This window comes from Homo sapiens, chromosome 18 (genome assembly GCF_000001405.40).
Source record: "Homo sapiens chromosome 18, GRCh38.p14 Primary Assembly".
Classification (NCBI taxonomy): domain Eukaryota; kingdom Metazoa; phylum Chordata; class Mammalia; order Primates; family Hominidae; genus Homo; species Homo sapiens.
In genome coordinates, this window is record NC_000018.10 from 12,064,766 (window position 1) to 12,089,870 (window position 25,105).

The following is a 25,105-nucleotide window of genomic DNA, read 5'->3' on the forward strand; positions in this document are numbered from 1 at the left end:
AACCCCAGGAGCCTCTCTAACATGGCCTCATGCTCAGACATAGGTCTTTCCTCTGCTGCACTGGACCACGGTCACAGCCACTCTTGCTTCACTGGAACACTGAGATCTGTCTTTGTTCCTGAAAGCACATCCCTGGAGGTGGAGTACGGACGGAATTATAACAATTCTCACTTTCTAGTGATTTGCCACTTAGGAAGTAATTTGCTTAGAGATTTTTATCTCATTACATTTTTATTTCATTATATCATGAAGTTCATGTAAGAATGAGTAGGATGAAAGCTTATGCAAGCCTGTTAGAATTTCATATAAACCAGAGAACTGATCCATTACAGAAGCAGAGTGTAGTAAAAGTCTGAAGTCAAGTTTAAGCAGTTTTCTGGGCAAATGCAATGCTTATGAGATGGTGCAGGAAACTCCTATTCATTTAGCTTTGAAATCACTGAAATCACAGTTACTGGAAATGTCTTCTATAGTCAACTTTTATGAGAAAGAGACAGAAGACAAATAAACCAATGGGTATCAGAGGTTTGTTTTTAAAGTAGCTTTCAGAGCGTATCATGGAGCCCGTTCAAAGGCAGCTCAGAATTTCAGACTTACACAGTAAAGGTCTATTATTCTTAATGAAGAACACGGCCATATGCTTAAGTATTTTCTAAATTGTCTAAAACAGATGGCTTTATTTTGTATAGTTTTGGTGTTCTGTGTGTTATAGTTCTTTGAAAAGTAAAATCTATATATGGATTTTATAATAACTGCATTTATGCAAATACGCAGTCAGCCAGCTTGCCTCTCCATGCACTCACAGCTTATGAGTCCTGTCTGAACTCCCCGCCTTCCTGCCCATCCCCTGCTGCACATCTGGCCCCAGGATAGTCGTCTTCTGTTTCGTCTGCTCTCAGAGTCCTCTGTCTGTTCATGCCATGCTCCTCCACCAGTGCTCAGGGTCTTCTCACTCAGCTACTAAGGAATCTTGAAACGTCCTTTCCTCTGTGTTGTCAGCCTCTGCTCAGCCCCTGGTTCCTACCCTTTAGTTTATAAGGACTCCCATGAGTCTTGCGCTAAAGGGCCACCTTGTCCTTTGGCCTCACCTCATCTCTTTGTCTGTCTCACCTCCACCTGCATTCTCATCCCTTTCCATCTCCGTTTTTTTTCTGGCTTTTTAAAAGAGAAGTCTGTCCTCATTGTCTCCCCTTCTCTACCTTTCATTTAGTTCACAACTCACTGCTCCATCACACTTATCTTTTCCACAATTCCACTGAAACTTTTTTGATACACGTCACCAATTTTCTCCAAAAGTCCTGTGATGAATGATCACCTCTAATCAAAGCTGGCCTCTACTAGATTTGACTCCCTCTTTCTTAAAACTCCTCCATGCACATCTTTTGTTTGCTTCTTTGTTTGTTTGTTGAGATGGAGTTTCACTCTTGTTGTCCAGGCTGGAGTGCAATGGCAGGATCTTGGCTCACTGCAACCTCTGCCTCCCAGGTTCAAGCAATTCTCCTGCCTCGGTCTCCCGAGCAGCTAGAATTACAGGTGCCCACCACCACGTCAGGCTAATTTTTGTATTTTTAGTAGAGACAGGGTTTCATCATGTTGGCCAGGCTGGTCTCGAATTCCTGACCTCAGGTGCTCCGCTCCCCCTCGGCCTCCCAGACTGCTGGGATTTCAGGCCTGAGCCACCGTGCCTGGCCTGCACATTCTCATACCTCCTTTTGTTGTCTTAAGTAGTTCCTCTTTCTTGATCTGCTCTTTAAATATTGTTAATTTCCCCCAGATTCTATGATTGGCCATCTTGTGTCTCTAAATACTCTTACTGAAGTAGCAGAAAAAGAACACAAAACTTGAAGTCATGGAAACCTGGGTATGAATGAGTTGTAAGAGCATGTTCACTATATTTTCAGCAAAATTGCATGAAGGCTGTGTCTGAGTTTTCTCATCACTTTTTTTTTTTTTTTTTTTTTTTTACCAAAAAACCAAAACCAGCTTCCATTTATCGATGGGCCCCACCCCCTGACGTCCTGGGGAGAGGGGCCCCCCAAAGAGCCTTTCTCTCTGGGACAAAATACAAATGGCAGAAAGGGTCCATACAGAAAAGAACGTCTCTGAGGTCCTTGCGTTTCTAATAAAATGGTAAGAATCTTTCGTGTGGGGCCTCCCAGCTGGGCAAGCCTTGACTGGCCAGGAGTCCAGGTGCCCAAGGTGTGACCTCAGCCCCTCACCCTGAGCAGGGAGGCTGGGCAGAAGCCTAGGCCCGCAGAGGCCCGGGGCTGCCGCCCCATCACACACTCATGGTCATCCCTGGCGAGTACTGGCCCGCCGCTGTCACGGTCTTGCTCTGGCCCCCCGGCCGCCCCGCCGGGGCCTGCCCGCCAGGCCCCTCCCGCCTGACACCGCCCTGGAGGGGGGAGAGTCGAAGCAGTCGCTTACGCTTTCGCTTGGAAACAGGTGCAGGAAGGTCCCGGCGGCCGCCATCTCGCCGTCGTCCCGCGGGGTGCCCGGGGCGTTGCTCAGGCCGGCCACGGCGCCGGGGGAGCTCTTCGGCAACCCGTCCATGTCGCCCGAGCCCAGGGATCCGCTTACGTGGTGAGGCTCCATCGCGCTCATGGCGGCCATGGGGCCCTCCGGGCCAGGGCCGAGCGGGAAATTAGCCCTGCCGGCACCCGGCCCGATGGGGTTCATGATAGTGTACATGTTTTCACTGGAGTTGGTAGAATCTCCAGGGCTAGGCATGATGAGGTGTTCCAGGGGGCCCACCTCCTCCTGGGGGTCCCGTGTAGCTGCCAGGGGATGAGGAGGAGTAGGGGATCGAGTTTCCACTGGGGCTGGCCCACGGGCCACGAACTCCTGGGCCCATGTTCATGGCAGGCAGGCCTGGGCCGGCAAGGGAGTTGGGTGGGGGTCGCATGCCGCCTCCATAGCTCTGGGGCCCCACGCTGGCCATGCCGCGAGGAGGCGTCACCCTCCGCATTGGGCCGCCCATGCTCGGATGCCCCTGGGCTCGTGGGGAGGGCTTCATGGCGCCAGGGAGGAGGGGATGGGAGCCGGGGAGGCCTGCGGGAGGCTGACTTAGCATCCGCAGGGTGGGCCGGGGACCCCCTGGGAAGCGCGGTGACATGAAGGGCTGACCGTGAGGCCCCATCACGGGGGCATTGGGGTTGTGGGGGGATGGCTGGGAGCCGGGGGGGCCCTGGAAGAAGCCAGCTGCCGTGGGGCCTGCGGCCATTGCGTCACCTGGGGCCATACTCCCCATCACAGGGCTGGGGGCGGCTGCAGCGCTATAGTCCTGGAAGGCCTTGGCCTCGCCGGAGTGCTCGCAGGCCTCTCTTCGGTCAGGCGCTGCGCAGTACAGGTCCCAGAAGACGCACCACCAGGAGTGCAGGAACCCGGGGGGCTCCCCCAGCGTGATGTTCTTCTCCCATCGGATCTCAGACAGGAAGGTCTGGGCTGACTTCTGGGCACCGATGTGCAGCAGGTACTCATAGACGTACAGCGCCAACCACCTTGCGGCCAGAAGAGCCTCTTCTCCAAAATGACCCAGAGGCTGGGCAGAGGGGACAGTCATCTTTGTGGAGGGGTGGGGCATCCCAAGTCAGCTTCTCGCGGGCCTGGCTGTCGGAGGGCACGGCCGAACCCTTGCCCCTCTTGGCGTACGTGCTGCTCCGCGCCGCCGCCGCCGCCGGGGCCCACACCTGTCAGGCGGCGCCGCGGGCCGCGCTCGCCGACGCCATAGCTACCCCGGGCCCCAGGCCTCACAGCCCAGAGCCCCGGGCGGGCACCGCGGGCATCGTCCGCGCGGGGGAGCTCCAGACGGCGGCTCCAGCTCCGGCCCCGGCCGCAGGGTGGCTTTTTTTCTTCTCATCACATTTTATCAAAAATCTAATTTTAATGTCACATACTACCCACTATATTTAAATAGCATATATAAACATTTTATAATTACTGCATAGTTAGGCTATTTCCGGTGTTCATGTTGGATATTGCCAGGAATTTTCAGTCCCTAACTGTTCCGATAACTTTTTGCTGACGAGTGCCGTATCTCCTAAAAGACACTGGGCTGTGGGGGTTGGCTTCTTTCTTTCTATGATTCCCAACAAACACGCTATGCACACACTCTCTTACCGCCCAATTGCCCCGTTGTTTCTGAGAGTGGGACTAGATGTAGAAAGATAATAGAAGTCAGGGGAAGGTGGGGTGATCATAATAATGATAAGAGCAAGAGTCTGGCTTTCTCAGAAGGAGGCTTCTATTCAGGAAGGACACAGTTGCCCAGTTTCTATTTAGTGCGAATCTTGTGTTTCTGAATTAGGGGGAACGCTGTGGGAAAAGAATGAAATATACTTGTATCTTTTTTAAGGCTGGCTTGTTTGCTTGGTTTCCATGGGAGACATATACATACAACACTATCATTTGAGTTTTGCAATTCAGTTAAATTGACCTACTAGTGAAAATTCCTTTACGATTCTATTTAAGATTCCTAAAGGGATTTTTACTAGTAGCTCAACTTACTCTGTGTGTGTGTGTGTGTGTGTGTCTACTTTCCAGTGTGTCTACATCTACTTTAGTGGGAATTGGTAGAGGAAGCGTTATAGACTGCCAATCAGAACCAATCTTAAACCAGAAATCCTGTAGTCAAGGATTATCTTGGAAAATTCATTATTTGATGATGGAGTTAATTATTTAGGATTCATGTTTCTTTTGAGAGTAATATGGAAGTAAGTTTTGGAAAGAAACAATGTTAAGGTGTTGCAGCACCTTCCGTGCATAGATGAGAGTGTTGAAGCATGGATGTTTGTGAACAGACCTGCCCTAGTCTCTACAAAGAGTGAGTAGGTGTGGCAGGGTCTTTTCAGCCTGACTGGCCAACCCAAAATGAGGGCATAACACATGTGTTGAGCTCATTCAATACCTTCTGGAGTTCAGCTATTTGGATATTAAAAAATTGCTAAGGGCCAAAAAACAAATATTATATTTGTTTGCACTTACTGGGACAACAAAAGAAAATTGAAAAATTCAAAAGCTAAAATGGTAAAAATTAATAATGATAAACATTCATCATTTCTGTTCAGGAAAGTTAGTATATGAAATTTTTAACCTAAAGGGCAAATGTCTTGGCTGCAGATATGCCATATTTGGGATTAAAGGATTAAAGACAAACATCTAATAGAAGAGACAATTCATACAACACACCAATAAAATGTTAAAATTGCTGACAAATCTAAGAAAATTTATTACTAATTATAAAAATATAAGCTAAGATAAAATGTTTTGTAAAAGATAAAACAGCTTTATAAAAACTCAATTCAATTGAGCACATATATTTGAATAAATTTGAGGGTTAGAATTTTGATAGTGTTAATCAAAATTTTACATATACATGTAATCATACTTCTAGGAATTTGCCCTAAAGGAATAATTGAATGAATGTTCAAAGATATAGGTAAAGTTGCTGATCGCATTCTTATGTATAATAGCAAAACTGTAGATATAAATTTACATATTAATCAGAAATTAAATTTTGTTAAATTATGGAACACTATATAAGCAGTAAAGTGATTACATGACTATATTTATAGACATACAGTTAATTATATATTAATATGTAATTAAAGCAGGATTCACAATAGAGTGGTCGTATTTTATATGTGCTGGTCTTAGTGTGTGGGAGTGTCTATGCAAAAATAAAAGATTTTTAGTATTTTCATGTTTTGTAAATCATGATATTTTACAAATAAGGAAAAATATAAAGCTATTTATTTTGAAAAGCGCACTGTTGAACACATGTTGATAGTGAGACTGATGAATTCTGACTTTTGTCTTTTATGAAGGGATCACCTACCCTTCATATACAATGATAAAATATTAAGACATTATGAAAACTGACAAAGGATACATGGTTGATAAAAAGCAAAATATAAACAACAGCAATTGTCATATACTTAAGGGGGTGCCATCTAGATATTTATGATCAGATCAGGGGAAAATAGACATTGCAAGGGAATTAGGTAGATGTGAAAATGATATTTTAAAAAATAATGTCATTAAATATGAAAACTATTAATTAAGGGATGATAAATAATGTTTTGTCTTACCTCTATCTTTTACAATTACTTTTAATCTATTAATGATAAATCTCGTGTGGGAAATAGGACTTGGAAAATTTTATAGATCTCACCATTTAACCCAAAAGGCTGAAATTACTAATTTGCTGAGAAAATTGTGTTACTCGAGTACATATCATCCACTAGAGCAGCCATTTCTGGGGTTAAACAGATTTCAGCTAAATTTTAACAGAAGATCATCTTAATATTGGCAAAGTAAAATGTCACTATTGGTTAATTGAGAAGAAAAATCTATTTTTCTCCTAGAATTTCACATTAAAATTCAATGTTCAATGCATGGTAAAAAGTCTTGGCTCCTTTGATTAGATATGAAAATCTTTTTCTCTCAAGAGTTAAAAATAATGTAAATGAAGCTTCTGGCAGAAAAGTTATGAGTGGTACAATTTCCTGATATTTTAGTTTTATCACCAATTTCCGTGCCAGGCCACATGTTCAGCTGCCTGGCAGCCCCTACAGTATGTGAAAATATTTCCCTTTTTATAGGAATATGCTGGCAAAAAACCACCACTTCCATGAATTATTAATCCTTTTCTGCTAATTATTTTGAAGAAGCAGAGGGGCAGGTCCACATTCAGGTGGCTCTCAGCGGCTGAGACATGCTTCATGAAAAACTGTTGAATTAGATGAAAACTGTGCCTCCTTTGACCACCAGTTTTACCACTACATTAAGTAACCTAGAGGGAAAACGAAGTTACTTTTTTCTGTGGTAAAAATTGAGTAATGAATCAATTGAAAGAATGATTGGTAAAAGTAATCAATGAAGAAACATGATGACCAAGTGAATAATGAATTTACAATATGAAGACAGAGATGTCTGCTTTTCCAGTGATGATGTTCATGAAAATATAAAACTGCAAAATGAAAGGAGCCTGTTAAAAACCCTTTTGTGGCCAGGCACGGTGGCTCACACCTGTAATTCCAGCACTTTGGGAGGCCGAGGTGGGCAGATCAAGAGGTCATGAGATCGAGACCATCCTGGCCAACATGGTGAAACCCCGTCTCTACTAAAAATACAAAAATTAGCTGGGCATGGTGGCACGTGCCTGTAGTCCCAGCTATTCGGGAGGCTGAGGCAGGAGAATCGCTTGAACCTGGAAGGCAGAGGTTGCAGTGAGCTGGGACCGTGCCACCGCACTCCAGCCTGGGTGACAGAGCGAGACTCCGTCTCAAAACAAAACAAAACAAAACAAAAAAACCCTTTTGTGTTATATTAAGGGAGGAGAAAGACCGAAGAGTAACTTGTCTAAAGAAATAAAGATAACCAGAGGCAGAGCTGTTACTAGAATTCAGATGTCTGATTTCAAGTAATAACAAAGCCCTATGGTTTTAAACCACTATTGCAGAAAAATTAGAGGAAATAAAAAATAATTGCCCTTTTTCCATCAGCTGTTGAGAGTATATTAGTGAATGACCTTTGGCTATGTATATTTGTACAGAACGAACTCTCCCTGTGCTTGTGGAGTGTTAAACAAAATTAACACAGGAGAATTCTCAGGGCCTGGATGGAAGGTCGTGTGCAAGGAGGTTTGATGACAGAGAACTTCTATAGGCATTCACAGGCTTCCAGAATTCATCATCAGACACTAAAACTTTGTGGAATAAAAAAGGTGGGTTTTTTTCAGATCTAATCTTTATATTTAATTTTCCCATCTTATAAAATACACATACTATTTTCATAAGAAAAATCACTTTAGTAAATACATAACAGACACTTCTGATGCCTGACAGACAACCTTTAACTGTTTTTAAAAGGATCCACTAAATATATCACTTAGATCTGGCAGTTTGAGAGCTTTTAATGCCTATCCTGAGACAACAGAGTGCCAGCTTGTGTTGGCCAGGCTCAATCACAGATTAAAAAGCTATTTCCCCACAGTACTTTAGTTATGAAATCACCCATAAAAGAATAACTTTCAGACATAATACAAAAATCAATTTAATTAATTATTTCTCTATCTAAGCTAGGTGCATTTTAGGATAACTTGGCATAATTTTATGCTGTGGTAATTAACTTAAAATGAAGCCCTTAAGCCTCCTAATTTTTTTTTCACTACACTAATAAATGGTGAAACCTATGGCCTGTGGTTCAAATTGCCAAAGAACTGTATGTCAGTCACTGCATCACACACAATATTATTACATTTATATCTCAATTATTCAATCCTGAATATTTTCCTGTTTCTTGTGCTGACAGTTAATAAGTTGCCATCACTTGCTTCCAAAGATAACCATAACTTTTCTGTCCTATGTTAACCAGTAAAAGTGACAGCAATCTTCTTCACAGTAAATTTTTACAGAAGTAACTGATGCACTCGTGATTGTTTAAAAGGACTTCCTTCTTAGCATCTGAGGTCATAAAAATGTTTTATTTCATAACCTAATAAAATGATAACCAAGCTTTGCAACTATTTTGCAAAATTGTTCACCTGTATTTGTGCACATACACTTTTCAAATTATACAGAGAAAATAGCATCCCCATTTGATAAATGAAGAATAAGCCCATGGTTAATTAATAACTAATGAAATCACGTCTACTTCCAGTTCAATACGATGCTTCCACCTAAGAAACCCGTCAACGCAGTCAACCATTCTTCCACACGCTGGCAAACAGTTCAACATACACCTCTGGACACCATGTTGCTCAAGTTGAGAGGTGAGCAAAACAGGGTCACATCATAAATATGTATTCTTCGATGGCGAATGTTCTTCCATGTCCACATTCCAAATGTCATTACAATTATTCTAGTAACTAGAAACATCCCACTCCCAGAAATGACTGCTAATCCTGTGGGCAGCTAACCCATCATCTTAAGCAACAATGGAGCACAATATTAATCACAGAGCCAGAATCCAAACGGCCTCTCCCAGTGCAAGGAACATTCACTGCAGGAAAGTGGGCTGTGCCCTGGAGACACAAGTATCAGGAGCAGTTATTAGAAAATCATGGCCCCTGAAGTTCAGAAAACCAATGAAATATTATCCCGCTGACAAGTGAGGTGGCCCATCTGCCTAAGTCTCGTTTATATACATATATCTATTTTCCTTCCTTTAATAACTACATCCTATCAAGTAAAGTGCCTAATGCACTAGGGCCACAGTTCCAAAAACTTATTACCAGAATGCAAGATACTAATTCTTATATATATATTATATATAAGAATATATCTATATTAGTTATATAAATATGTGATATACATATTAGATATATCTAAATATATATTATATATTAGAATATATATGTGATATATAAGTGTGTGTATATATAATTGATATATAAAAATATATTAGAATGATTTAGGAAAACAAGGCTTATTATTTACATTTTAGCAATATTAATGGATCTGAGAAGTTCTACATAAAGAAATATGCAGGTTTTGTTCAGCCCAGTGTTTTCCCCACAGTTGTATACAAAGCACTTTTAGAATTGCAAGTCAGGGCCACATTGTATGAGAAGGTGAATGTGATGCTACAGAAAACTCTTATGGATGAGTCAGGGATCTTGGGTTCTGTTTTCAGGCCTGCCCTAACCTAAGCGTGGGCTTCAGTTTACAACTTGCTTGAGGTTCCCTCTACCTCTATAATTCATTTCTTTATAAGTGATTATATCACAAAAGAAATTGTACATATAAAGTTCTCACAAAGCTTTAAACATAAAGCTTAAGAACACAATAATTCTGCCCCTTAAAAATTATTCAAAGCATTAATTTGCTGCTCATTCATTCTGTAAACTGTGCTTGTCAATTTCTTTCCCCTAGAAGATATCATGTGGACAAGCATATCATGGTTTCAATGTGGTCCCGTTAAGGTAAAATACACCACTTGTAGAATTCACTGCATTTTTAAAACTTATATAGTCCAATCATTTTGAATTTCAAAAAAGCGCCTAAACAGCCTCTCATTTCTCTAGGACATTACAAGGACAATTAAAAGGAATTTACTACAAGATCTGGGTGACTAAAACTCCCGTTACAAAAGATGAGCTCAGGGGTGTGTGGAGAAGAGAAATCCAGCAGGCTGAGCTAAGCAGCCCTGCCTAAGCCACAGTGTGGAGGCAGAGCACTACTTTCTCACCAGCAACCTCTGCTATATCTCTGGACCTTAATGTCCAGGAACTGAGAGTTCATCTCTCCCAGTCCCAGTAACAAACAGGTCATTATAAGAGAAGAGGCAGAAGTATCTCCACAAAATTCTGGAAATTTAAAAGCGTGCTTTTAGTTCAAATATGATAAACATAAACAGGCCTTAAAATATACAGATTGAACTCTGTCACACTACCATTTGTTGACACTGTATGCTACAAATCTGAATTTAGAAAAGTACCTCTTTTGATTTTTCCTCTTTGGTAAATCTTCCAAGTTTTTCAATCATTTCCGCCACAAATATAACATCCATTTTGTCAGAAAAGTTGGCTGCTTCCACAGTGTAAGCCAGTAACTGTAGAGCTGTTGCCACGGCATTGGTAAGATTGAGGGGCATCTGATTAAACATATAAAGAACTCTAGTGACATCATTTGCATACTGACAGCGAGAATAATCATCATCTGCCCAAAAGCCGCCTCTATCACATCTGCGCCAAGCTTTTCTCTCATCCTGTGGGTTTCCGGGATATATCCCACTGCCATGGGTGTTCTGCGTACACTGCAGATACGCAGTAATGCCCGCCAATGTTCTGGGCCATCTGAAATCACCTTTGTTGTTTACCACCCTCTCTGGAGGACAGTACTGTGCAGAACTCTCTAATACCACAATATCCACAGTCCTCGTATTATTCCCACGTTTGGTCTGGACATGACAGCCCTAATTTCCAGTAGATCCAGCCTGATTATTAGAAACGGTTAGGGCACTTGCAATCAAGGAGCAGTTGTGAATCACGTTCTTTTCAACAAAAATACCTTGCGATTCATCGGTTTCAACTATTCTCCCATCCTGATACCACAACACTTGCATGTCCTGATCAATATATGAAGCCATGCACTGGAAAGGAAGGCTGTCTCCTTCAAACACAACTTGGCGATGAGATGGAGTCATGTAGAAAGACGGCAATTCAAGCGGAGGGTCGCATGTCAACAGCTCCTGCTTCACGCCTGTGACTGGTTGGGCCTGCAGTGACTTAGGATAAACACACCTGGTATCCTGTACCGTGATGTTCCTCTCCTTTACCCAGCGATGCATCCACAGTAGGTTACAGTCACACAAAAGATACTCAGTCTGGAATTCCAAAGACCGTAATGAGGAAAGATAATCAAAAGTTCCTTGAGGTAATGAAGAAAACAAATTCCCCGAAAGGTTTAGCCGAGCCAGATTGGTGAGTCCTCGAAATATGTTTGCATTCAGACATCCTATTCGATTGTTTGTCAGATCCAACCTTTTTAGAGATGACAGTCCCCAAAAGGCACCTGGATCTATACGACTAATAAGATTGTTTCGGAGGTCCAATCTTTCAAGGAGAGTTAACCCAGAAAATGAGCCATTCTGCAGCTCGGATATCTTATTGTTACTCAGAATCAGGGTGACCGTGCGGTTGGGCAGAGTATCTGGGGGCAGGACCTGCGCGAGCTCCAGGATGCTGCACACCACCTTGCCCTCGGCGGCGCCCGCCGCCCTGCCAGCCCCTCGGGGACGCCCATCGTGCTTGCAGCAGGCGGGCAGTGCCGCGGCGCCGCCGCCGCCGCCGCCGCAGCCTCCCAGCAGCGCGAGCAGCGCTAACAGCGAGAGCGGCAGCAGCAGCGGCGGCTGCGCGCGGCCCCGCCGGCGTCCGGGCGGCTCCATGCTGCCGGCCGGGGCCTGCTGGGCGAGCGGCGGCGCACTGGCCTAGCGGGCCGCCCCAGAGCCCGGGCGAGCAGGAGCGCGGATCGGGCCCAGTGGCGCCCGGAGCCTCATGGCGGCCGGAGGACCGGCCCTCCCCGGCGCCGACGTGCTCCTTTGTCCTCTGCGGCTGCTCTGGGCCTGGAGGGAGCCAGGGGTCCAGTTTTTTTTTTTTTTTTTAATTATAACCAGATGGTAGAAGGAAGAAGACGCATGATAGGGAGGAGAATAAAAACAGGAATATGGAGAAGGAAGGGGAGACTAGAACACAGTCCCCAAGATAAGACAATACAATGAATAAATAAGAACATTGGCTCTGGGGTCCCTAATCTCTAACTCTTGGTTTCCTCACCTGAAAAGGGGATGTAGTAATAGTACTAATTTCACAGAGTATTTGAGAAGCTTAAGTTAGCTAATATATAGGAAGCTAGCACCTACTTGGTAAGGGATTAATAACCGTAAACTATTTCATTGCTATGTTAATTTGGGGGAAATGCCACTCTTGATTTAAAATAGGACTAAAGATGGCTAGAAATTGTTTGTTTGTTTGTTTGTTTGTTTGTTTTGAGACGGAGTCTCACTCTGTCGCCCAGGCTGGAGCACAGTGGCGCAATCTCGGCTCACTGCAAGCTCCGCCTCCCGGGTTCACACCATTCTCCTGCCTCAGCCTCCCGAGTAGCTGGGACTACAGGCGCCCGCCACCACGCCTGAATAATTTTTTGTATTTTTAGTAGAGACGGGGTTTCACCTTGTTAGCCAGGATGGTCTCAATCTCCTGACCTTGTGATCCGCCCGCCTCGGCCTCCCAAAGTGCTGGGAGCACAGGCGTGAGCCACCGCGCCCGGCCTAGAAATTGTTAAACATGCTTTCCTCACAACCTAAAATTTGGATGCTCAAGGAATTGTTCTTATTTTCATTGTCTATCTTGAGTGCTCTTTGAGATACAGGTATCAGAGCCCCGACTTAAAATGAGAATAGGTGACCCAGGTTATTTTTTCTTCCCTGTAACTGGGAAGTGAGGGAAGGCGAGGGCATCCTGATGGAGTGCACAGAGGCAGATGGGGATGCCATGAGGGGTCAGCCTCCTCTCTCCATCCCTGCTTCCCTCTGCACACGTGACCCATTCTTCCCTCTTACACACAGGCTGTTGCATGTGGCAGCAAACTTGGTCATGGGTGAGCCTGGCTTTCTGGCAGCTGAGGAGAGAGAGCTTCCTACCAGATAGGTGCAGAAACTGGCAGAGGTTCCATCTTGACCCCATGTAGCTAATTGTGGTGCAGCAATGTTATTAGAGAGGAGGGAAAATGGAAGCCACAGAGGTTGATAGGTAGATAGGGTGGAAGAGGGAGGGTGAGAGGAGAATGGACAGGCAGAGCTGGATTCATTCGTAAAGGAGCGATGGCTGGTTTACTTATTCAGGAGGAAACATCCTACCTGAAAGGAGCTTAAAGGCTGGTTTGTCACCCTGGACACACGTGGTAGACACTGGGACCTGCTCTGCAGCTGAATGCAATTTAGTCCAAGGTTTGTTTACCGTGTCTGGACTCTGCCATCTTCCACTCTGCATTTCAATTCTGTTGACTGGATACTGGATCTGCAAAGGACAGTTTCTGAAAGTGAAGAATCACAGTTCATTATTTCTAACTATTTCATCTAAGATTTGAAAGGAAAAAATCCCTTCTATGAATTACAGTTGGCCCTCCGTATCCATGAGTTCTGCACCCACAAATTCAACTGACCTCAGATCAAAATTATTTGAAAAAGCGTATTTGAAAAAAATACAACAATAAAAACACTACAAATGTAAAAAAAGTACAATATAACAACTATTTACATAACATTTATATATATTACTATGTATTATAATTAATCTACAGATGATTTGAAGTATGCAGGGGATGCTAGGTTATATACAAATTCTACACTGTTTTAGATCAGGGATGTGAACACTTGCAGATTTTGGGGTCCACAGGGGTCCTGGAATTAATTCCCTGTGGATACTGAGAGATGACTGGACATCCATTCTGCATGCTATATATTTTCCTTTTAATTATTATTGCTGTTTCGGTTTCCCTGAAAAATACAACATGTTTTAAACTTCTCTATATTATAAATCTCATTTAAAAAGTGTTGAATCAATGAAGTCTGCCAGCTACTTCTTTCCCCTTGTTGGACTGCTTTGGCGAAAGTGAATAGTATTACCTTACCATGTAAAGCATGGTTAATGGCTTTAAAAGAATTCCCTGGCAACTGAATAATGGGCTGCCAGAAATATTCGTGGTGCCAAAGGATCTGGACATGTCTGTTCCATTTATTGTGTGTTTCTTGTTTCATCATGATTAAGTGCTCACAAAAGGCATAAAAATCCAAACCTCTAGGGTATGTGGAGTTTGAGGGCAGAAACCATATTTTAATATATCTAGTCTCATACCTAGCATGTTAAGATGGTTAGGAAAGTATCAATGGCAAAAAATGATGAGCCTGTGGTATGTCAGACACTGAAATTATTAAGTTGATTTCTGGTGAATAGAAAGAAGTCGTTCTGCCACTGCTGTTGTGCCTGGTTGAGTGGCCTAATGTTTATTCTCAGGAGTACTGAGTGTCTTGCATCGAAACCTTTTGACTTGTCCTGCCTGTTTAAATAAGTTTACATTTCACAGAAATAGGAAGGTGGGGCTTATTTTTAAATTAAAACTCCCTGTTAAAAAAGCCTGACAATGTAGTATAGCAAAATCATTTAAATTAAAAAATTTACCTGAATAATAAATGGAACCTATTAAGAAAAAAATTGAACCTATTAAAAACAAAAAATAGGAATAATACTGAAAATATCTTAGAAAACAATGGAAATGCAGAAAAATGTAAAAGGTGCTTTGTTTCTTCCATGAAGCAAGAGAAGTCAAGGCGAGCAGCATCTCAACCTCCTCACCGTCCAATCCTTCCCTCTGGGGACCCTCCACACTTGGCCTGTGCTTGGCCATCTGGTTCTCATTTTGGCAGGAGACTCTCATCTCTCCCACCTTGTAGTCTAGGCAGGCAGTTGTCATTGGCCTTGAACACATTGTGGCTTCCGCAGGTTATGTATTCTCTGCCAGTCTCTTAATTGCTAGGATCTCAGGGGCAGAATAATTGTCTGAGAATTACACATCGTACACATGTATCAAAATATCACACTGTTCCCATAAATATGTGCAATTATTATGTGTCAATTAAAAATAACAATATTTTTAAAAAGAATTCCTGAAAAAGGGATTCTTAATTGTTTTGCATGTGACTCACAGGTCAGAAGACATTCACATGGGACCCACTCCCCTGGGCCAGGGGCCAAGAGAAATTCCTGGGCTGGTTAGCTCAAACTCTGTGTTTTTTTTTTTTACTCCTACTCAGCAAAACACATTGGAATTCAGCCGGAGAAGAGTGACTTCATGTGAGAATATAAGCCTGAATCTGCTTTAAATGTGTTTGTGTGTCTAATCCACATCCGAAATTTAGTCCTTTATTATTTATCAAAATTATTTAAAACACTCCATCATGACCAACTAGTATGAACCCAGGTCCCCTGGCAAAACCCCATGATCATGATCTCCTGGGACTAGTTCAGTCCTTAGAGAAGGCCAGAGAGTTGGCCCTGGGGCCTCCTACTCCTCTTGAGGAAGCCTAATGTCTAGGAGACACTGGCCATCCGAAGATGAAGCCTTTGAGGCAGAGTTCTCAAGAAATAAACCTAAGCACCGTACGAGTTTAATTTGACTTTAGGAAAAGAAGCCAGGTAGCTTTTCAGCTGCCTTTTAGCTGGGGACTCAGTGCTGAACCCACCGTTTCCTATTGACAGAAGTAACTCTATCAGAAAGGCAGTAATTATCAATAACTACCTGCTGTGATTATCAAGCAACTAGTGCACAACACAATTTATGAATTTAGGGGTAGATGGGTATTTACCTGCAATAGTTACTGAAATCAAAATATGTTTACCATTGACTAAGCATCAGGAAAATGTAAACAAATGGCACGGGTTAGCACAAATCCTTACTTTTGGTAAATGCCGAATTTTTATTAAAAAGGTTTTCCTAAAATTTAGCACTTTTCCTTATATCAGGTACTCAGAAAATTATTATATGCCTGTGACGTAGGGAAGAAATATTACATAGAAAAATTGTATAACATCTTTTTTATACCCAGCTGTCCTTCTCTTATGGATTTGGATATACTGTTCTTGATATCAGTTGGAACAGCATTTTTGTGTTCTTCTGATTTAACATGTTTAGCTTAAAAAAAAAGGAAATGTGAATTCTGTGGTCAACACTGGTAAGATAAAGGCATGGTGGGTGATGTGTTGGAACTTCAGTGTCACCTGGCTTTCCAGATTGCTCCACAAAATTACAAGTTGAATTTTAGAACGTACAGCTGTTTGATTATGTTTAACAGGAGAGTTCCACCATATTTTGCTGAGCAGGACACACTTAGATTTTTAGAGAATTATTGGCGTGGCCTAATGCTTTACCAGAGGGGTTGGCATGGAGAGTTCTGTCACATGCAGATTTTGTTGTTGTTGTTGTTGTTTTGTTTTGTTTTGTTTTTTCAAGATGGAGTTTTGCTCTTGTCGCCCAGGCTGGAGTGCAATGGCGCGATCTTGACTCACTGCAACCTCTGCCTCCGTGTTCAAGTGATTCTCCTGCCTCAGTCTTCTGAGTAGCTGGGATTACAGGTGCCCACCACCATGCCCGGCTAATTTTTGTATTTTTAGTTGAGAAAGGGTTTCGCCATGTTGGCCAGGCTGGTCTCGAACTCCTGACCTCAGGTGATCTGCCTGCCTTGGCCTCCCGGAGTGCTGGGATTACAGACGTTAGCCATTGCGGCTGGCCACATTGCAGGTTATATGCACTTAAATCCCTATGTGGACTCGACTTCTGTATATGCGGACTTTTTATTAAATTTTCTGTACTCTACAAAGGCCATCTGGGACTGGAGGTGGGGAGTAATGCATTTGAAGAAAAACCAGTCATCCTACCTAAACATAAAACCAAATATCTAGCGTGTGTGGAAAAGCCGAACAAAACTATCTGAGTCCTTGATGTGCCCTGATTATGTCTCTCCCTTCCATTACAGGCTCAACATGGGAAAAGACATTCCGGCAGATCGGCTTTGAAAGGTAAGCAAGGGTTGGCATGTCTCCATTTTAGTTACTCTTGTCTTTTAAGTAATTTCTTCTAAGTAATTTATTGATTATAAATCAATAGTCCTGTCACCACCATTTTGGTAACTGTATGACCTTGATCAAGTCATCATTTTGCCCCTCCGAGCCTCAGTTTCTTTGTAGAGCATTACTTCATAAAGCCTTGCCTGCACACAGAGTGGAAATAAAGATGGAATGGGGCAATTGATGTGAAAACACCTCTTGAACTGTAAAACAGTACACAAAGTAAGTTACAGAATTAGAGAATCCCAGGAAATGGTTGACTCTCCCCTAGCTTCATCACCTCCTATGTCATAATCAATTCTACAGTTTTAGTACAGAAAAGTTTATATTTGTATTGATGTCTTCCCAATTATTAAAATTGTTAGATCTTTTTAGCTTTAAGTGAAAATCTAAGATGATGTTTTTCTTAGCTAAAAGCATCTCCACACCAGCATCTCCCCAAAAGAAACAAAAATAGACTCATTATAACATCAGAAAATGTGCTGGTAGGTCCATGCAGTTTCTTTTCTTTTTTCTCTCTTTCCTTTCCTTTCCTTTTCTTTCTTTCTCTTTTCTCCTTCCTTCCTTCTTTCTTTTCTTTTCTTTTTTTGAGACAGGGACTTGCTCTGTCACCCAGGCTGGAGTGCACTGGCATGATCTCGGCTCACTGCAACCTCTGCCTCCTGGGTTCAAGTGATTCTCTTGCCTCAGCCTCCCAAGTAGCTGGGATCTCAGGCACCCGTCACCACACCCCGCTAATTTTTGTATTTTTAGTAGAGATGGGGTTTCACTATGTTGGCCAGACTGGTCTTGTACTCCTGACCTCAGATGATCTGCCCACCTCGGCCTCACAAAGTGTTGGGATTACGGGCGTGAGCCACTGCACCTGGCCGGTCAATGCAGTTTCTAAACCACCTACCCTTGGAATTGAAGCGCAGAATTTTGCACAGCTTTCTACCTGTGACATTTAGCATCTTATCTCAAACTTTCAATGGAAATAAGGCTATTGAAAGAAAAAAAGTCATTTTAATTTTATTTTACTCTCACAGTAGGTTTTGACTAGTTCTTTTTATCATAGTGAAAATGTGTTTTTCTCTGTATTGATCAAGCTGACAGAGCACTTAAAGGATATAAAGGAAATAATAAAATACTTGAAAATGCATTATTTCTATTGTAGCAATAGAGAATAGCACATCACCAGACCCACTGTGGTAGCACTTTCTTTGCCATTTGTTACATGATTCAAGGATGATTTATTCCTCTACCTACACTTCCAGTCACATCAGCACCATCGCTGTTTGCTGTCTCAGTAAGTGCTCATCATTCTTAAGGTATTGCGGGAAGTTGATTTGGGATGGTCAAATCCCACAGGCCAACTTAAAGAATGGAAAGTCATGCACAGCTTCAGTTCCGTGTGAAATCTTTTTCTAAAGCATCTTTCCCTTGATCCTTCTTTCATATTATCAAACATCTCAAACATACACAAAAATAGAGATAATAGCAGAAAAAGGTCACTCATCCACTCCCCAGCTCCAATAAATCTTTGCCACACTTACTTTATGTATTTATTTTGGCTGAAACATTTTAAAGAAGATCTCAGATACTATGTCATTTCATCCCTACGTAGGTCAGCTTCATCACCTCATATGTCATAATCAATTCTACAGTTTTAGTTCAGCCATTTCTGGGGTTAAACAGATTTCAGCTAAATTTCAACAGAAGATCATCTTAATATTGGCAAAGTAAAATGTCACTATTGGTTAATTGGGGGCCCTATCTGGGGCTGCACTTCCCTCGGCGGGGAGCGGGTTGGGGGCACTATCCCAGACTGTATTGCCGGCAGCAGTGAGGAGGGTTAAGGGTACTATCCAGGGCTGCACTGCCCACGGGGGCGGGTGGGATGTTTCGGGTTGAGGGCGCTATGGGGTGCGGGGAGGGGGACGGTTTGGTGTGTGCTTTAGCTAGGATTTTGCTTCAGCTAGGATTTCCAGTACTATGTTAAGTAACAGTGGTGACAGTGGGCATCCTTATCATGTTCCAGATCTTAGAGGAAGAGCTTTCCATATATCCCCATCCCATGTGATTCTAGCTGTGGGTCTCTCTCGTGTGGTTTTTATTATGGTGAGGTATGTTTCTTCTGTATCCAGATTTTTGATGATTTATTTATAGCATGAAGGGATGCTGAATTTCATCAGATGCTTTTTCAGTTTCAATTGACACGATTGTACCGTTTTTGTCCTTTATTCGGTTGATATGGTGTATCCCTCTGATTTTGTGTTGAATGGCCCTTGCATCTCAGGGATACATCCCACTTGGTCATGATGAATTATCTTTTTAATGTATTGTTGAATTTGATTTGCTGGCATTTTGTTGAGGATTTTTGTATCAATATTAGAGATACTGGCCTGTAGTTTCCTTGTTTGATGTCTTTGTCTGATTTTGGTATTATGGTAATAATGGCCTCATAGAATAAGTTTGGAAGTATTCCCTCCTGTTTTTCAAAATAGTTTTGAGTAGTATTGGTACTAGGTCTGCCCTCCTGTTTTTCAAAATAGCTTTGAGTAGGATCGGTACTAGGTCTGTGAATGTGTGGTGTGAAGCCATCAGCAGTGAAGCCATCGGTTCCTGGGCTTTTCTTTACTGGGAGACTTTTTCTGATGGCTTCAATCTCATTATTTGTTACCGATCTGTTCAGGTCTTCGATGTTTTCATGGTTCAACCTAGGTAGATTGTATGCGTCTAGGAATTTGTCAGTTTCTACTAGGCTTTTTAATTAATTGGCCTATTAAATAGGCAGTTATGATCCTTTGCATTTCTGAAGCATCAGTTGTAATGTCTCCTTTTTTTATCTCTTGATTTTATTTATTTGAATCTTCTCTTTTTCTTAGTTAGCCTGACTAAAAGTTTGTCAATTTTGTTTAACTTTCCAGAAAGCCAACTTTTTGTTTAGTCTTGTGTTTTTTTATTTCAATTTTATTTTTGCTACAATCTTTATTATTTATGTTGGGTTTAGTTTGTTCTTTACTAGTTGTTTAAGGTGTATTGTTTATTTGAAGTTTTTCTTCTGTTTGGATGGTAGGCACTTATAGCTATACATTTCTGCCTTTCTACTGCTTTTTGTGTGTCATAAGTTTTGGTATATTGTGTTTTCATTACCATTTGTTTCAAGAAATTTTTCAATTGCCATCTTAGTATCTTCATTGACCCACTAGTCATTCATTCACGAATGGATTGTTTAACTTCCATGTGATTGTATGGTTTCCAAAATCACTCTCTTACTTATATCTAGTTTTATTCCTTTGTAGTCAAAGAAGATGGCCATGGAGACAGCAGCGTGGTTGAAGTGGTAGGAGGCGGCCGTCAGCAAGAGCTGCTCTGTGCCTGGCAGCTGGAGGCTAGAGCCTGTGGCGCAGCGGCTCGCCTCACTGTGGTTGGTGGTGGCGGCGACAGAGACTGCAGCACTACCAGAGTGGTACGACAGGGGCTATCTGGGGCTGGACTTCTCACAGTGGGGGGTGCGTTGGGGGTACTCTCAGAGGTGTCACTGCCTGCGTTGGGTGTACCTGTTGGTAGCACTATATGGGGCTGTGCTGCCCATGGCGGGGAGTGGGTTATGGGTGCTCTCTGGGGCTGCAGTGCCCGTGGAGGAGGACAGGTTAGGGGCACTAATCAGGTACTATGCTGCTGGCGGCTTTGTTGGGGGTGGAAGTGGGGGGCGCTATTGAGGCAGGACTAGCCATGGAGGGGGGCTAGTTGGGTGCTGTTGGGGGCTGCACTGCTGGCGGTGGTTGGTAGAGGTGGCAGCGACAGTGGTGGCATCCAAGGAAGGAGCAATTCTCCTCTCCCTGGACTCCACACTCCAGAGGGCGACCTCCTGTTGCTCATACTGGAGTGTGGCAGGTGCACAGTGTTTCCGTGGGAATCCTAAGCATGGCAGAGCCCACACCTGCCATGGTTACTGGGCCTGTGCATTCTGGGTCTGTGCCACAGAGCCTGCCTGGCACCTCTGGGTATGGAGTAGTGGACACCACAGGGAACAGGGCCCTGTGCGTGGAGGCGTCCAGAATGGGAATTGGCACCTGGATGCAGAGGGTTGGCTTGATCTCTGAGTTTCTGCTGCTCCTGCTCAACAAGGAGTGCAGCCCCGGTGGGCCCAGCGGCTCCTGTGGAGTGGGGAGCTGGGATCTGTGGTGTCTCCAGCACCCACCTTAGGCCCCAGTTCCTGGCTAGCTTGGGCCAAAAGGAGAGGCTGGACTTTGGAGGCTGGGTGTGAGTGCCTTTGCTGAAACTGGCCTCTGCCACCCAGTGGCTCACATGACAAGGTGAGGCTCTGACGCTACCACCCTTTGCATCTTCCTCTAGGCTCTTCTGGCTTTGTCTGCCCAGCTGCTCCATGCCAGGAGGAGGAGGAGACACCTGCCATACACTGAAGGTTGCAACACTGCAGCTCGCCTCACTGAAGCATGCCAGAGAGGTAGGAGGGTGGCAACACTAGGAAGGCAGGTGGCAGCAGCCAGGGTGGGGGCAGGCCTATGGCAGTGGTGGAGCTGCGGCAGTGGCCAGGTGGCAGGAGCCTTGTAGGGAGGGCCGGTGCATTGGCATTCAGCCTGGCCCCGCCCTGTCCTGGACTGCCCTACTGTTACCTGGCTGTCTTGGCCCTGCCCTACCCTGCCCTGGCCCCACCCTGGCCCTGTCTTAGCCCTGTGTTATTGTGTCCCTGCCCTGGCCCTGCCCTTGCACTGGCCCTTCCCTGGCTCAGGCTGTGGCCCTGCGTCTGCCCTGGACCTTCCCTGAATCTGTGCTGGCCCGGCCTTGGCTCTGATCTGCTCCTTGTGCTGACCCTGGGCCTGCCATGGCCCTGGCCCTGCCAAAGGTCATGGTCCTGGTCCTGTTCTGGCCCTGACCTGGACTTGGACATGTCCTGGCCCTGATTTGTCCCAGCCCTGCCTTGGCCCGTCCCTGCCCTGGCCCCACCATGTCCCTGCCTGTTCTGCCCTCTGCCGGCAATGACCTCGCCCTGCCATGGCCCAGTTGTGCCATTGCCCTGCCTTACCCTGCCCTGGTTGTCCCCTGGCCCCTCCTGGCACTGGCCGCTCCATGGGCCTGCCCTGACTCTGCCGTGGCTTTTGCCCGGCCCTCACTATGGCCTGGTTCTGGCCCTGTCCTGGCCCCGCCCAGGCCCTGGCCCTGACCCTGGTCCTTCCATATCCCTGGCCCTGACCGTTATCCAGGCCCTGTCCCTGCTGCTGCCATATCCCTGGCCTGGGACCTGGCCCTGCCAGGGACGTGCCCTGACTCTGCCATGGCTCTGGCCCTACTCCGCCTTAGTCCTGGTCCCGACCTAGACCCTTTCCTGGCTCTGCCCTGGCCATGGTCGAAATGTCCTGGTCCTGAGCTGGCACTGGTCGGTCCCTGGTCTTGGCACCACACGCTCTGCCGTGCTCTGGCTGTGTCATCACCCTGCCCTGGACCTGCCCTTGTCCTACTCTGGTTTGACCCTGCCATGGACCTACCTTGGCCCTCACGCTAGCCTTGGCTAGGCCGTGCTCTGGACCTGGCCGTAGCCCAGACCTGGTTCTGGCCCTGGCCCTTGCCCTGGCCTTTGTCCTGCCATAGCCCTGGCCCTGGCCCTGAACTGGACTTGGAGATGTCCTGGCCCTGAAGTGACCTGGCCCTGCCTTGGCCTATCCCTGCCCTGCCCCTACCATCACCTTGCCCTGTTCTGCCCTGTCCCGGCAGTGACCCAGCCTTGCCATTGCCCTGCCCTACCCTGACTTGGCTGTTCCCTGGCTTGGCTCTGGACCTGGCTGTGCCCTGGACATCCTCGGACACTGCCTCAGCCCTGGCACTAGCCTGGCCCTGCCTTGGCATCATGGGCCCTGCCCTGTCTATGGACCAGCTCTGGTCCTGTCCTGCACTGGCCATACCACGCCCTTCCCTGCCCTGACTCAGCCCTGGCCTTGGCCTTACCCCTGGTCCTGCCATATTTCTCATCCTGTCCCTACCCTGGCCTTGGCCCTGACCCTTACCCTGCTCTGGCCCTGCCCTTGTTCTGGCCCTACCCTTGCCCTACCCCAGACCCTGCTCCTGTCCTGGCCCTGGCCCTTCCCTGCTTGAAACCTTACCCTGGTTCTGCCCTGGCCCTGACCCTGAAATGCCTGGCCCCACCCTGGCCTTGCACTGCTTGGCCCTTCCCCTGATTCTGGCCCTGTCACCGTCCTAGCCCCAGCCCTGTCACTGGTCTTGCCGTGGCCCAGACCCTTCCTTGGCCCTGCCCTGCCCCTGTTCTGGACCCTGGTTGTACCATGAACCTGCACTGTCCTTGCCCGTGTTTTGCTCCTGCCCCAAACCTGGTCCTGCCCCTGCCATGGTGATGGTCCTGGCTCTGCCCTGGCCATTCCCTGGCCCTGCCCTGGTATTGGCAATGTCCTGGCCCTGCCCTGGCTCCTAACTGCCCTGGCTTTTTCTTGGCCCTGTGCTACCTTGGCTCTGCCATGCCGTGGCCCTGCCTCTGCCTTGGCTCTGCTCTGGGCAAGGCCTTGGCCTTCAGCCTGGCCCTGCCCTGGACCTGCCCTACCATTACCTGGCCTGTCCCGGTCCTGCCCTGCCCTGGCCAGGACCTTCCCTGAACCTGCACTGGCCCTGCCTTGGCTCTGGCCCTGTCTCTTGTCGTGACCCTGGTCCTGCCAATGGTCACGGTCCTGGTCCTGTTCTGGCCCTGAGCTGGCCTTGGACATGTCCTCGCCCTGATTTGTCCTGGCCCTGCTTTGGCTCTTTCCTGCCCTGGCCACACCATGGCCCTGCCTGTTCTGTCCTCTCCTGGCGCTGACCTCACCCTGCCATGGCCCATTGGTACTGTTGCCCTGCCTTACCCTGCCCTGGTTGTGCCCTGGCCCTGCCTGGCGCTGGCCCCTCCCTGGACCTGCCCTGACCCTGCCTTGGCTTTTGCCCTGCCCTCACTATGGCCTGGTTCTGGCCCTGTCAAGTACCTGCCCTGACTCTGCCATGGCCCTGGCCCTGGCCCTGCTCTGCTGTGGTTCTGGCCCTGACCCAGACCCTTTCTTGGCTCTGTCCTGGCCCTGGCCTTTTCCTGGCCCTGAGCTGGCACTGGTCGGCCCCTGGTTTTGGCACCACATGCCCTGCCGTGCTCTGGCTGTGTCATCACCCTGCCCTGGCCCTGTCCTTGCCCTACTCTGGCTTTGACCCTGCCCTGGCCCTACCTTAGCCCTCACCCTAGTCTTGTCTTGGGCCTGGACATAGCACAGACCTGGCTGTGGCCCTGGCCCTACCATGGCCCTGTCCCAGACCCTGGCCCTGCCAGGTACCTGTCCTGGCCCCGCCCTTGCCCTTCCCCTTTTCCTGGCACTGGCCTTGGACATGACCGTGGTCCTAACCCTGGCCCTGCCCTGGAGCTGCCACTGTCTTGGCCCTGCCCTGGCCCTACATCTACCCTGCTTCTGGCCCTGGCCCTGCCCCAGCCATAGACCTGCCCTGGTTGGCCCTGCCCTGCCTTCGCCCTGTGCTACTCTAGGCCTGCTGTACCCTCCTCTGCCCTGAGTTTGGCCCTGCCCTGACCTTGCCTTGGCCCTCACACTGGCCCTAGCACAGACCTGGCCCTAGCCCTGGCCTTGGCCTGGCATTGACCCCTGTTCCTGACCTTGGTCCTGCCATGGCCCTGGCCCTGGCCCTGAACTGGTTCTACCCTAACCCTGACAGATTACATTAGAATATTATTTAAAATTTTTATTTTAGATTTTTAAGATAACTATAGTAGTAATAATACATCATATGCTATTTATAATAGTAATAGTATTTGTAGTAGTTAATAATCGCTAAAATTTTAACCAGTACTTTCTTTGCTCCTGGTACTGTTCTAAGAGTATAGCTGTATAAATTTGTATATATGTGAGGCATTAATTCTCACAATAACTCTATAGGCTGGGTACTTACAGCATCCCCACTTCCAAATGTAAGAAACAGTCATAAAGAGGTTAAATACTTGGC

The 25,105-nt window shown here is 46.0% G+C and overlaps 2 pseudogenes, besides 3 other annotated features; both read right to left on the reverse strand.

Moving 5' to 3' along the window:
• Positions 1,964–3,855, reverse strand: LOC646044 (single stranded DNA binding protein 4 pseudogene; annotated as a pseudogene).
• Positions 10,438–12,085, reverse strand: ADGRA3P1 (ADGRA3 pseudogene 1; annotated as a pseudogene).
• Positions 11,774–11,943: a silencer, noted in NCBI's record as "silent region_9305". NCBI's record gives its function as "represses an Ori minimal core promoter by ATAC-STARR-seq in GM12878 lymphoblastoid cells {active_cell/tissue: GM12878}" and the evidence as "EXISTENCE:reporter gene assay evidence [ECO:0000049][PMID:35858748]".
• Positions 21,403–22,135: an enhancer, noted in NCBI's record as "H3K27ac-H3K4me1 hESC enhancer chr18:12086167-12086899 (GRCh37/hg19 assembly coordinates)". NCBI's record gives its function as "activates a minimal SCP1, AML or CMV promoter by ChIP-STARR-seq in primed H9 embryonic stem cells {active_cell/tissue: H9 hESC(primed)}" and the evidence as "EXISTENCE:reporter gene assay evidence [ECO:0000049][PMID:30033119]".
• Positions 24,283–24,783: an enhancer, noted in NCBI's record as "H3K27ac hESC enhancer chr18:12089047-12089547 (GRCh37/hg19 assembly coordinates)". NCBI's record gives its function as "activates a minimal SCP1, AML or CMV promoter by ChIP-STARR-seq in naive H9 embryonic stem cells {active_cell/tissue: H9 hESC(naive)}" and the evidence as "EXISTENCE:reporter gene assay evidence [ECO:0000049][PMID:30033119]".